The sequence below is a fragment of the Homo sapiens genome, chromosome 2 (genome assembly GCF_000001405.40).
Source record: "Homo sapiens chromosome 2, GRCh38.p14 Primary Assembly".
Classification (NCBI taxonomy): domain Eukaryota; kingdom Metazoa; phylum Chordata; class Mammalia; order Primates; family Hominidae; genus Homo; species Homo sapiens.
Window position 1 is genome coordinate 238,904,048 of NC_000002.12, and position 14,483 is coordinate 238,918,530.

At 54.6% G+C, this 14,483-nt stretch overlaps 1 protein-coding gene across 1 annotated transcript in view; it reads left to right on the plus strand.

The window, feature by feature from the left end:
* Window positions 1-6,487, plus strand: part of TWIST2 (twist family bHLH transcription factor 2) — a 62,450-nt gene extending 55,963 nt beyond the window's left edge. Inside the window, exon 2 of the mRNA NM_001271893.4 lies at window positions 5,795-6,487. The gene's annotated coding sequence lies outside the window, so the exon portion shown is untranslated. The remainder of the gene's footprint in view (window positions 1-5,794) is intronic.

Genomic DNA, 14,483 nt, shown 5'->3' on the forward strand with positions numbered 1-14,483 from the left:
TTGTGTGTGATGTGGGTGTGTGTGATGTGGGGTGTGTGTGATGTGGGTGTGTGTGTGATGTGAGGTGTTTGTGATGTGAGGTGTGTGTGCGACGTAGTGTGTGTGATGTGGGGTGTGTGTGATGTGAGGTGTGTGTGATGTGGGGTGTGTGTGATGTGAGGTGTGTGATGTAGTGTGTGTGTGATGTGGGGTGTGTGTGATGGGTATGTGCATAATGTGAGGTGTGTTTGATGTAGTGTGTGTGTGATGGGGGTGTGTCTAATGTGAGGTGTGTGTGTGTGATATGGGATGTGTGATGTAGTGTGTGTGATGTGAGGTATGTTTGAGGTAGTGTGTGTGTGATGTAAGGTGTGTGTCTAATGTGAGGTGTGTGTGATGTGGGGTGTGTGTGATGTGGGGTATGTGTGGGATGGGTGTGTGTGTGTCTGTGTGCGTGTTCGTGTGTGTGTGTCTGACTAGAGATTTCACATGTGTGCTCACCTCCCACCCTTCTTCCCTGCCATGCTGGTTCTGACTGTCCAACGGTGTCCATGGTACTTTGCCCTTCCCTTTCTGTGGTAGAGTCTACCTGCACTCTAAAAAGTGATCCGTGTCTTCCCTGTGTTCTAGTTGCTTACAAACATGCTTCTGCCCTGCTAGATTTCTCTGATCCATCTCAGCTTTTTCAACAACTAGCAGCATTCTTGGCACATGATAGATGCTCAATTATGTCGCAGGAATGGAAGGAAGAAAGGGAGGAAAGAAAGAAGGGAGGAAGGGGGAAGGAAGCGGAAGGAAGGGAGGGAAAAATGAATGAATTGGTGAAAGGATAAATGGATAAAAGGAAGGAAGGATGGATAGATGAATGGATGGGTGGAGGGAATGAAGGACAGGTGGTACATCAATGAATGGATCAATGAAGAAATGGATGGATGGAAGGAAGGAAGAGAGAAAGAAAAAAAGAAGAAAGAAAGAAAAGAAAGGAAGGAAGGAAGAAAGAAGTAGGTAGGTGGGTGGCTAGGTGGGTGGCTGGCTGGGTGGGCAGGTGAGGAGATGGATAAATGGTCTTAGAGTAAAACGCCTTTCCCTTGGCCCACCCTGCCTCCCTAGCCTTTTCCGTAATGCTTCTGTCCCTTTGTTAGGCCTTGGGGATATAGAGTTGAATGGGGCCTCACCTGCTCATTAGGGCCCCGGTCTGGTGTGGAAGACACAACTGAGGCACTCTCTTGGTTCAGCCACAGCTTTGCAGCTCCACCCATCCCCCGACTCCTGGGCCAGGCAGGCAGATACAGGGAGGTAACTGCACGCAGCACGCATGCACACAGTTCCAGGTGGCCTGTGTATGCAGGAGGCGCTCCCCAGCCCCAGATGTTTTACATTTGTTGCAGAGAACACGGCCCATGTCAGCAGACATGGCTGGGGTCAGGGTGACATCAAGGGGGCCAGGCCCGGAGGCTCTCGGTCAAGAAGACTAATGAACCTGCCGCCCGTTTCTGCCTGAGCCTGGGTCCCCTCGGGCACGTGAAGCAAACCCTGAAACCCACCACTGGCCAGGGAACGGCCCCTGTCATTTTTGGCTTTTCATGGGTGATACGGTATTTCCCCTTGGAGGGTTGGTTCAGCTCATATATCAAAAGCTGTGGTAATTATTTCCTCCCACTGAGGAAGGCTTCCATTTAGCTTTCTCTACCCACCCCCCCTTATTAATTATCTAATTACAACCACATTCTCCAAGAGAGAGCAGCCTTTGACTTTCTGCCCAGGACCACTTAAAAAAGGCTTAAATATTTGGAGTGCTCTGAACTTTGAAAAAAGTGTGTGTGTGTGTGCGTGTGTGTGCGTGCGTGTGTGTGCATGTGCGCGCATGCGCGTGTGTGCGTGTGTGTGCGTGCAGGTGTGCGTGTGCGCGTGTGTGTGCGCGCGCGTGTGTACGTGTGCGTGTGTGTGCGCGCGCGTGTACGTGCGCGTGTGTGCGTGTGCGTGTGTGGTTTTCATACGCATGGGTTTCAGGGAAAATACGTCTTGGCTTTTTCAGACTGTTGCCTTGGTTCAACAAAGGTTCCTGGAGGTCTCTGAGGACCTGGGCTGCTGGGGTGAAGCCTGGGGCTGGGGGTTGGGAGAGGGCTGGGGGTGAAGGAGCGGAACCACACGTCCCCCCTGCACACTGCTGTGCGACATCAGACACCCACGCCCACAGGGACACACACGGACCCACGCACACAGATGCACACACCCACACAAAAACATGCACACTGACACTCCCACAGGGACACACACACAGACCCACTCAGGAGGATGTACATGCTTACACACACACACTGACACACGGACCCACTCACGTGGATGTACACACTTACAAACATGCACACCAGCACTTCCACGGGAAAACACATGCACTCACACGGATGCGCACACACACATACACATGCATACTGACACTCCCACAGGGACACACAGACCCACTCATGGATGCACATGCTCACACACATGCATGCACACTGGCACACACACGGGCCAACTTACACGATACACATGCTCACACAATTTACACAACTTGCACATGGACACACACTCACTCTGGACATTCTTTCATACTCACACTCACTCTCACACTAGTGGGCACACTCACAGACACACACACGGGATGTCACCGAGCACCACGTCACCCGTCCCTCCAGCTTCCACATCCTCCCCCCAGTGCCTGGGGCCTCCCTGGACCTCCTTCCCTGTGGCAGAATCCTCACGGTGACCCCTCTCCTGGCGGCCGCCTTGGGGAGCCCATGCCTGCCTCTGGGCTGACACCCACCCCTCCCACCACGCTCAGCCGCTCTGCGGGAGGAGGGTCTCGTTGCGCTGGTTTGCCCCTTGGCTCAGGGGAGTTCTCCAATAATTCTCGCTGAACACTCACCTCCCGCGAGCTCTGCAGGTCAACTGGCTGTTCTCATGTTTGTGCAAGAGGTGTGGGAGTGAGCACTTACACGGCCAGGCCCTGTGGTGAGCAGTAAAGGTCCCAGGTCGCAGGGCCAGTCTTCAGCGATCCCTGCTAGAGCTCAGGTCTCCTGGCAGGACAGCAACACAGCCTGGGGGCTGCTGCAGGCTGGCCTGGGTGTGTGGCAGAAGCGGCCCTGAGGCGCGGCGCGGGGCCCACCTGTGTTCGCCACACTCCCGACCAGGTGCTGATGCCAGTGGCGTGTCCCCTGCCCTGTGGGCCCCACTGAGGTGGCCCAAGACCTTGGGCTTATGACACCACATCCCTGTACACCCTGGGTCTCAGACGCTGGCCCCGGCCACCTCTCAGCACCTTCTCTTTGAGCTTGGCAGGCACAGAGGGAGGCGCGGGATTGGGGTCCCCACCCCGGCTTCCTGGAGGACCTGGACTTTCCTCCTGCCTGTGTCTCCTCCCCCTGCAGGTGGGAACCAGGCTCTGGGTAGCGCCTGAGCGGGTTCTTTCCCCAAGGCGCTCCCGGGACAGCTGGTTGCAGCCCCAGAGCTGCACCAAGCCTGGCACACCCACAGTTTGATTGGCCCACAAGTGCGCTTAGAAGTCACTTGTGTGGCATGAGGGGACCTTGTGGGGCTGGAAGAATTGTGTGTCTTGATCATAGTGGGGGGTGCAAGAAACAACACGCATGATGAAACTGCAGGAAGTACACATACACCACTCACACACACACACAAATGCACACAATACACACACAAACACACACATAAACGCACACAACACACACACAAAAACACACAAACACTCCACATACCCACTTACACACATAAACACACACCACGCGCCACACAAATATACCACACACTACACACACACCCCCACACTGTACATACACACCACATACACACACACCACACAAACACACTACACCCCCACTTACAAACACACACCACCTACACCACACACAAACACACATCACATGGCACACAAACATACCACACACTACACACACACCCCACATTGTACATACGCACCACATACACAAACACATACCACACAAACACACCACACCCCCACATACACACACAAAGTCACGCCACATACACCACACACCATACAAACATACCACACACACAGACATACCACATACACATACACATAGATACCATACCATACACACTACCCACTACATACCACATATACATACCCCACACCACACACACATACACACGCCACACTGTACACATATACCCCCCATACAAAATACAATCCCCCAAACACACACCACATACACCATGCACCATACATACCACACACTACACACACACTTCACACTGTACATAGACACCACATACACACACATACCACACACACAAACACACCACACCCCACATACACACAAACACAAACCACATGCACCACACACCACACAAACATACCACACACTGCACACACCACACATACCACATACACACACATGCACACACATACAACATACCATGTACACTACACACTATATACCACACATACATACCCCACACCACACACACCCACACGAGTGACATGTGAATAAGCTCTTGGTCCATACTGGTGCCAGATGCCTGGGTGTGACGTGACGACACCACTGTATGTGTGGCATATAATGTGGTATATAATATACCATATGGTATGTTGTCTGTGTGGATATGTATGTGGTATGTTTGTGCAGTGTGTGGGGTGTGTGTAGTATGCAGTGTGTTTGTGCTGTGCAGTGTGTGTGTGGGTATGTGGGGATGTGGTGTGTTTGTGTGTGGTATGTGTTTGTGTATGAGGTGTGTATGGACAGTGGGATGCGTGTGTAGTGTGCGGTATGTTTGTGTGGTGTGTGGTGTGTGTGATGTGTTTGTGTGTGGGAGGGTGTGGTGTGTTTGTGTGGTGTGTGGTGGTGTATGTAGTGTGTTTGTGTATGTGGCAGTGTGGTGTGTTTGTGTGTGTGGTATTTGTATGTGGTGTGTATGTACAGTGCGGGGTGTGTGTAGTGTGTAGTATGTTTGTGTGGTGTGTGTGTGTATGTGGAGGTGTGGTGTATTCGTGGTTGTGGTATGTGTATGTGGTGTGTATGTAGTGTGGGGTGTGTGTAGTGTGTGGTATGTTTGGTGTGTGTGTATGTGGGGTGGGGTGTGTTCGTGGGTGTGGTATGTGTATGTGGTGTGTAGTGTGGGGTGTGTGTAGTGTGTGGTATGTTTGGTGTGTGTGTGTATGTGGGGTGGGGTGTGTTCGTGGGTGTGGTATGTGTGGAAACTGGGTGAAAGGCACATGGGACATCTCTGTGTTGTCTTTGCAACTTCCCGTGTGTCTGCAATTGTTTTGAAAGCACGCATTTTAAAGCAAGAATCCGCCGTTGACAGCTCCCGCCAGCGGCTGACCCATTTCTCTGCGTCCTCCTCGCTGGAACCCAGCCCTCTGCTGCCCGAAACCCCACAGCTCCCTCGGGCCTGCACGGGGCCAACGTGCCGAGCCTCTCTTGTCCCCAGGCAGCCTGTTCTGAGGGGCTCACCCACAGCCAGACCGCATTCATGGCTGCGCTGAGCACGGGCCAGGGAGAGGCCCCGGGGTGGTGAGTGTGAGAAAGGGCACTCGGGGGCAGGAAAGGGCACTCGGGGGAGGGAAAGGGCTTGGCCTGGCCCAGGGGGCAGGGGTTGCGGAAGCCTGGGCTGGCCCCGTAGCAGTCACCTGCCCAGTGTCTTTTGGGAGGAACATGAGTAGAACAGAGCCAGCTCTCTCAGGGCCTGCCCCGTGTCCCGTCCCACCCAGCCTTGGGACAGTCTCAGGACGATCCTGCAGGAGGCCGAGCGAGGCGGCCGTAGCTCACGGTCCCCCTTCCGTATCTTCCAGGCTGTCCGTCGCGTCGGCGGCGCAAGTGGAATTGGGATGCATTCGAGTCTGTAACTTCTGAAACCTGAACAACCTCAGGAGGCCCCCACCTCTGCCCTCCACCAGCGTCGAGAGAAGGGACAGCAGTGACATCGGACAGAAGACCCGGGCTCCCGTCCTCCCCCAGGACGGTCCCCACATAGGAAGGGCACTCCCAGCCCTCTTGCTGGTGACATTGTCATGGTCATCTTGTTTCTGTTTGGATTTTTCTTCTGGGTCTTATGTTTGGGGGGAGGTTTATTCTTTCTGAAAATGTCTAGATTCAGGAACACATTTATGAGGATTTGGATTTTGAATTTGTATTTCCCTCTAAGTGCCTTTTTTAATGTCTATTTTTTTAATAAAACAGAAATGCATTCTTGTACAATTCTGTTGAAACTGGACCAAGGCTCTCAGAAGAGGACCCCCGAGTTCCTTCCCCTCCCCCGAGCCTCTGCATGATTGTTTCAAGTCAGCCTGGAATTCTTACTTTCACGCCGCTATTCTTTTCCTTTCTCCGTGATTGCTTGGCTAGCCATTTAAAAAAAAATATTCTCTGTTCAGTGTATATGTTGCTTGTTTGTTTTATTTATTGAGATATTTTTACAAGCTAAGTGACTGCAGTGTGGCTGTGTATCCTGCTCCCCACCCAGGAAAAATAAAGACGTCCGCGCAGCCATGGTCTCCCCATCTCTGTTCTCATCTCTACTTCGCAGCTCAGGGCTCTGCCTGAGAGAGTCAGAACAGGTTGCAAGAATCACTATTACTTCACTTTAAAAGGCACGAGAGAGGATGTGAGACATTTTATGCTGTGCATGTTTGTAGAAATTTCTAGAAACTACCAACTCTAACATGGTTGCCAGTGTGAACAGACCGAGGCCTGGGAGAGCAGAGGGGGCCTCAGCCCTTTCCCAGTGCCTAGTCCTCTGCTGCTCCCCAGCAGCCTCAGCACAAGAGACCATTGCTGTCACACCCACGCCCCGCTCTTGATACAGAAGCGTGCCCATTCTGTGAGCCACCCCTGCTGTCCAAAGTCCGGGCCAGCCTTCCCTGCTGCTCACCCTGGGTGGTATTCCCTGCTCTCCCAAGCATGGCATTCATTTGTGCCACCACCTCCCTGCTTCTCTGAACGAGTCACCGTCTGCTCCACATGCATCCGTGCCATGTTGACCATGAGCTCACCAGGCAGCTGGCTAAGAATGGAGCACCTGGGTGTGCAGGTTAGGTTGGCATCCTGCCCAGAAATCCCAGAAGGAACATGATCTGCCATCAAGGAGAGTCAGCCTGGGTCTGGTGCAGGCGGGCACCTCTGCATGAGGGCAAGGGCTCTATGCCCTGCCCGCTACCTCCTTACCATGCCAGCACCCATGAGCACTGGGGGCTGGGTGTTGCTTGTGGACCCCAGGGTGGAGGCTTCCAGCTCTGGAGACTGAGAGTCACCAGGTCACTACCCTGAGCCACCAAACGCATGTCTCCTGGGGGACATCTGGTACCGGGGTCTGCTGGGTGGAGCTGCCCACCAAGCAGTGGACACACAGAGCCCACCCAGCTCCTAGACAGAGGTTCTGGAAGTAGGGGTCTCTGGCAGGATGGTGGTGGCTTGCGAGCCTCATTTCCCACTCCCACCCTGTCCCCAGGTCCACCACGGCAAGGACAGGAGCTCCGGAAACACCAGCATGGCCTCAGCTTCCATCTGGCTCCTGTTGGTGACCTTGATGCAGCACTGGCTTCCACTGGGGCTGGCATCACCGGGAGCGCCTGTCTAGGTCACAGATCCTTGAAGCACAAGCGCCAGAACCCACTGCATGCAACAAGCACACAGACACACACACACACACGCCCAGATCGCACATGCACATGCCACACACATGCATGCACACACACCACACACACATGCACACCACACACACATGCATGCACACACACCACACACACGCACACATCACACACACATGCATGCACACCACACACACATGCATGCACACACACCACACACACGCACACATCACACACACATGCACACACACCACACACACGCACACACCACACACACGCATGCACACACCACACACACATGCACACATCACACACACACATGCAGGCGCACAGACCACACACACAATGCGTGTGAACACACTTGGCACACTTCAAACACACGCACACGTACCCAGGTCACATGAATGTATGCACATACAACCAGCATACACATGCACACATGTGCACACACGAGACTCTGGGGAGATAGAATGGGGCAGCTGTGGTCCCAGCAGTGAAAGGCCCTGCCCTCCCCAGTACTGTCTGGCATGCTCTGCTGAGGCCCGTGGAGGCCACGAAGACTATGAAGGCCACGGTGCCCTCCCTCCTGACGTGATTCAAATAGAAATAATCCCAAGTCATGTAATGCAAAGCTGGCGGACAGTGGGGCCAGAGGAGCCTCTTTCTTGGTTTCCAAGTTGAAAACTTCGTTATTCCTCTGCCCGGTGCCCTGAGCCTGGTTTCCTGGTGAGCAACAGCCTCTTGTCACCTCTGTGGGGGACCCAGCCCTGTGAGTGCTCACACCGAAGCCCCAGGCAGAAGGGGCAAGGAATGAAAGGGCCCCGTGCAAATGAGGGGGCACCCTGGCCCCACGTGGGAGGTCAGGGATGGAGTTCAGTGGGGGCCTCAGAGCAGTGACCAAGCCGGGGGGGTCATCCCAGGGCCTCCCTGCGGCGGCCGCCTCTCCGGGCATCACCGCCTGCTGCCTGTTCCCAGCCCAACTGCTGCACACTCTGGTAGCCACATCAGGGTGTCCTCCTCCCCCAGCCCTGGCCTCTCCTGGGGTCTCTCCTGGGGCTTTTGTCTCCAACTCTGGGCATCCAAGGAGCGGGTCACCGACACCTTAGGCTACGTGGAAATACGCGGCTGTGGACACGGGCTCACTTCCTGTTTTCACCCCCACACACACATTCCTGGAAGAGGTGCCGAAAGACGCTGGCTTCCGGAACACGTGTGTGTGTGTCTATGGTTCCATACGCACGCTGGCACGCGTGTATTTGCATGTGTGTGATGCATGTCTATGGACTATGGACGCAGGTACCTGCTCTCCCATAACCTGCTGCTGGCTCTCCTCCCCAGGCATGTCGTGGGGCCACTTCCCTGTGCTGGCTCCTGCTCTGGGGTCTCACAGCTTCTCTGGGGTCAACCAGAGCCCTCTGCAGTCACGGCCCTGAGAACAGACCTGAGTGAGCTGGTGTGCACATGTTTTCAGGGTCAGATGACTGGTGAGTCCGCAGAACAGGAGACTGTTCCGAGCCCCAGGGGCTGTCTAAAGGAAAACCTACCCCAAACCCATCTCACTTCCGCCTGTGTTCAAAGGCAGCCCGACGGAGTCCCCAGCTGTCAGGTGACCAGGTCAGCCTGAGGAGCCTGGGTGCAGACATGTGGGGTGAGGGGACCTGGAGGGGGCGGCAGCACTGCCGGGACCCCTGCACCCAGCCAGGCCCTGGCATCGCAGACCATCCTTGAGGGAGGGCCGCTGGCCAGGCAGGTGGGGGCCTTGAGTCTGAATTTCCCCGCAGGGCGAGACATGCTGGGGGCGGGGGCTCCTTTGCAGGTCCTCAGCCTCAGGTCTGAAACACAGCCTTGGGCCTGTGCAGTGGCCAAGACCAACACGTCTTGATGGAAAAGTCTCACTCTTTGATTTTGAAAGTGACTGCAGACAGAGGTGGGACTTCCAGGTTGTAGCTGATGGAACACAGGCCCCATGGGAGCCGGGAGTCATGCGGCAGCAAAGAGGCAACGGGAACTCAGCCCCAGGTCAGCCGTCTCCCTGCAGCCCCAGTGCCATCTGCAGGATGCTGTGTGGCTCTGAGTGACATAGTTTGGAGGGTTGCTGGCAGCCCTGAGCACCCCAGAAGAGGAGGTGGGGACCCTCACAGGAGACCAGACAGCCTCTGGGTAAGGCAGAGTGGGGATGGGCTGTCTGGAAGAGTGAGGCCTGGGTGGGCAGGGTGGGTCCTGGGGAGAGGCAGTATATTCCACGTGGCTACAGAGGCCAGGTGCAGCCTTGTGTTATCCTGCACCTGCAGGGCCATGAAAATGGCTGTCAGTCATAGAAACGGTGCCATCGGAGGCTCGTCGAACACCTCACTGTGTGTGGCATGGGTATGCCTGTGGGCCGCCACACGTAGGGGCCAACGTGTACAGAGGCAATCTGCCCCACAGATGCCTTCAACCCACAGGCTAAGATGCCACGTCGTCTGGGGCCAGGACCATCTGAAAGAGGGGGCACCCAGAGCAGTCACCACATGCAGAGGAAGAGTACGGGGCATGTGGCCTGCTCCTGTGTACCGTCCCTGCATCCTGCTTCTCTGTAGGCGGGGTCACCCACACTCTGTCTCCCTCTTAAGCCCTTTGGCTTGGGGTAAGACAGATCTAACCCTCCATCCACGGAGCACCGCCTCACTGCCCACACAGGACCGGAGCCACCTGAGCTGCAAAGTCCAGAGCAAGTGAAGGCCCAGAGAGTACAGTGATGACAGCCCTTATGGGATTGAATGTGGGCACCTCATAAACCGTAGTGCAGAGGTCCGTTCTGACCCCCAGCCCGTAGGAAGACTCAAAGTGTCCTTTCCCTCAAGGAACCCGACAGCTGCCTGGGAGTGTCAGGGCTCTTTAGAAACAGCCACGCCCTTTGCCTGCTCATGGCCACACTGGTTTGTACCCCGGTGGACTTGACTTTCCACCTCCAAGCACCAGTCTCCCTGAGATGAAGCCCCCAATATCTACTTCTGGGTCTGCTTGCTGCCGACTGCCAGTTCTGTCCTCCTGAATAAAGACTCTCATCCTGACCTGGGCTGGGCTCGGGGCTGCCTTTTTCCTGCCGCCCCATCCAAGGCTGAGTGGACTCGCCCATCCTCCACACATATTTCCAGCAGGTCTCATCACTCGCTGACTCAGTGACCCAGGAAACAGGCCCGACTGCCGAAAGAAAGTGGGGAGGGCATGAGTGGGAGCCAGAGGAGGAGAGAGGGATGGGAGAGGTGCTGGGGTGCATTGGCCAGGAAGGATGACCAGGCCATGCCCGGGTTCCGGGGGTCTAGGGATGAAGCGTGGGAGGGAGCAGGGAGGGCAGGAAGCTGTCCGGCAGCTCTGCATTGCAGGAAGCGTGTTTAGGTGTGACCGGTTACACATGCATGATTATCAGTGTTTCCCCCTGAAATCCTCCAAAAGATATGTTTACATCTAAACCCCTGGAACCTGTGAATGGACCCTACTTGGGAAAAGTCTTTGCAGATGTAATTAAGTTAAGGATCTGGAGATGAGACCATCTGGATTTGGGGTGGCTCCTAAATCAAGGACGGCCTTACAAGAGAAGGGCAGTGGGAGATTTCAGAGAACACTGGGAGATGACAGAGGCAGGGATGGGAGTGACGTGTCCACAAGCCAAGGAATGCTGGAGAGCAGCCTGGAACAGGCGCTCCCTCCGAGCCTCCAGAAAGAACCAGCCCCGCCCACACCTTGATTCAAATTTCTGCCCCCAGAACTCTGGGAGAATCCACTTCTGAAGCTATCAGTTTGTGGTTGTTTGGTGCAGCAGCCACAAGGAACAAATACAGCCCCCGAAAGTGACATCAAAGAAGGAATGACCTGTGAATGCGCAGGAGAGGGGGACAGGGGCAGCCTGCAGACAGGAGACCCTGTGAGGCTCATGGAAGATGAGTGGGGAAGGGTGGGCAGCCCCTCGGCTGAACCTCGAAAGAGGAAATGCAGCAGGGAGGCCTGAGTCGGGGAAGCTGGACCAGCAGGCTGGTCCCAGAAGGACTGGGGACTGGCAGGTGACAAAACCTCTAATTCTGAGGTACAGCATGGGGCTAAAGCTGCAGGACCGGCTGATGATCTGCAAGAGACACGGGGAGACCCTCTTCCTAGCTCAGAGTTGATGACCACTCTCCCCCACTCCTGCCAGCTGGAGGGGTCCAGGAAGGGTCTGAACCCCAGCACAGCCTTGTGGAGCAGGTGGGAATGGAGGACTCGGGGTGACTCTAGGAGGCTCCCCACTTCTCCCCTGCTCAATGCCAGCTGCTGGAAGCCCAGCCTTGCCTCTCCAGGCAGGAGGCTGGAGAACCCCTCTCAGCTTCCGTTATAAATGGACACCCGGGACAGACAGGCCAGAACAAACACACAGAAGAAGCACAGAGGAAGGGGGAGAAGCACGTCAGAGGTGCCGCCGGAGAGAAGCTCCCATACCTCCGAGATACAGCGACCGGCGAAAAAGAGAACTGAGAATTCCAGTGATCTCCTGTGAATTAGGAAAACCATTTCTTGAATGGAAACTTTAGTAGCAGTTTTGGAAGATGAAATGAGAGAAATCATACGCAGCAGGGCAAAAAGACAAAGAGAAGAAGAAAAACAAAACAAAACAAAACAAAACAAAACAAAACAAAAAGATTTGAGCACGAATCCAGGAAGTCCAATGAGGAGTCCCAGAAAGACAGAACAGAGAAAAGCAGGATTCAGAGCTGAGAGGCATGCGTTTCCGGGTTGAAAGGGCCATGGGAATGTCCTACACCGAGAAGGAAAGGAGGAGGGAGGGAAAGAAGGAGGAGGGAGGGAAAGAAAGAAGGAGGAGGAAGGGAAAGAAAGAAGGAGGAGGGAGGGAAAGAAGCACTGCAGGAGTGGCACACGCGGTGCTGATGTCGAAGCGCCAGTTCTAGGATGATCGAGGGGGCTAGTAGTTATCGTCCCTCTCCCCTGCCCAGGTTCTGGGCAATTTGGAAAAATAAAACAACAGAGAGGCGGGAGAGGGCTAAGTGTCACCTTTACAATCAGTGGAGGCTCAGCCAAGGTCAAGACCGTCTGTGGCAACCCAGTGGGCCTGCCCTGGGGTACCCAAGCCCACTGCCTTGCCCACCCACCCAGGCTCTGGGACTAGAAGGAAGGTGGGGTGGGCTGCAGGAGCCCCGTGATTCTTTCTGAATCTCCAGGGACATCACTGCTCCACGCTGGAACAGAGAGAGCCATGGCGGGGAGACAGGCTATGGGAGACCCCACTGTGGAAACAGGAGTGGGGAGAAGCCAGGCCCCCTGGCCTCAGCAAAGCCTTGGAACCGCATTGGACGGCCCCACCGCAGTGCTGGGACAGTGGGGTTGGGGTGATGCCTTCCACCCCCGGTGTGTGGACCCAGGTGTCCTGTCAGTTGTGAGTGCCGAGTAAAGACATCAGCAGCAGCCCCAGGCCTCCCCACCAGGGCCTGGCAGGACACCAGGCCCACGCCCAGATTCCGTGGTTTGAGGGAAGTTTGACCAGAGCTATGTGCGAGGTGTGGCAGAGTGTGGGGTGCTCACAGCCAGGGTGGCAGCAGGTGGTGAGCTGCCACTGGGGAGGCGTGGTCGATGGAGCCCAGGACACTCTGTGGAGGCTCCTGAGGGCTGTGCATGACAGAGAAGGACAGAGCCAGGGAAGAAACTCTGGCTTGCTCTCCTCCCACCCACCGGTCCCCTTCCACAGGCCCCCACTGAGCCCCAACCAGAGGGGAGGGAGCCCACAGACACAGCAGGTGGGCACAGAGCAGGGATCTCCGGGGCAAATGGGAGAAGGTCAGCTCCCCTCCCCGCTGTCCTGGCTCAACAAGCTCCCCCAAAACTAGGGCAAAAACCAGCAGATCTGGGGAGCAAACGATCCCACCTAGACAGCAACATCCCAAGCAGGGTTCCAGAGTGGCCTTGGGCAAACCAGCCCAGTGTTGGGTGCGTCACCAAAGAAATGTCTGCAAGGAAAGCAATGGCGCTGAGAGACCCCGGGGGTTTTGTGTGGGTTTTTTTGTTTGTTTGTTTGTTTGTTTTGTTTTGTTTTGTTTTAAGCAAAGTTTGGAGCTGAATTAGTGAAAAGTTCATAAAAAGCCACACACGCACCAAAAAAAGAAAAAGAAAAACAGGAAACAAACAATGATTAACTTTAAGAAAAACGAAAAGTTTGAAAAGGAAAGAAGTGGGATTACAGTGCAGTATGTGATTTCGTTTTGTGAACTGTGATTGATTGTATCACACAGCTATAACTATGGAAACAGTAAAACAGATTCAACTATTAATTAAGACTTAATTTTGAGAGGCACACGAGGAGCAGAAACAGGTGGGAAGGTGGATGTTAAAGAGCTGAGTCCTCAGCTCCAGGTGTAGAAAGACAGAAGATCATGTCTAGAACTGAAGAATTCATAAAGAACGTTCTAAGAATGTTATTATTATTATTATTAGTATTTGAGATGGAGTCTCGCTTTGTCACCCAGGCTGGACTGCAATGGTGCAATCTGGGCTTACTGTAGCCTCCGCCTCCCGGGTTCAAGAGATTCTCCTGCCTCAGCCTCCAAAGTAGCTGGGATTACAGGCACCCGCCACCACGTCTGGCTAATTTTTTGTATTTCTAAGTAGAGATGAGGTTTTGCCTTGCTGGCCAGGCAGGTCTTGAACTCCTGATCTCAGGTAATCCGCCTGCCTTGGCCTCCCAAAGTACTGGGATTACAGGTGTGAGCCACCCACCCCCCACAGCCTAAGCATGTTATTTTAAAATGTGGAGATAAATACCAGAAGAAATGGATAAAAACGCTGAAAGAGCCCTCCCAATGCTCGGGCTCTGGGATGTGAAAGGGAGGGAGAAAAGAGCTATTTTCCATTTTAAGCTTGTTAGTATTTTAGG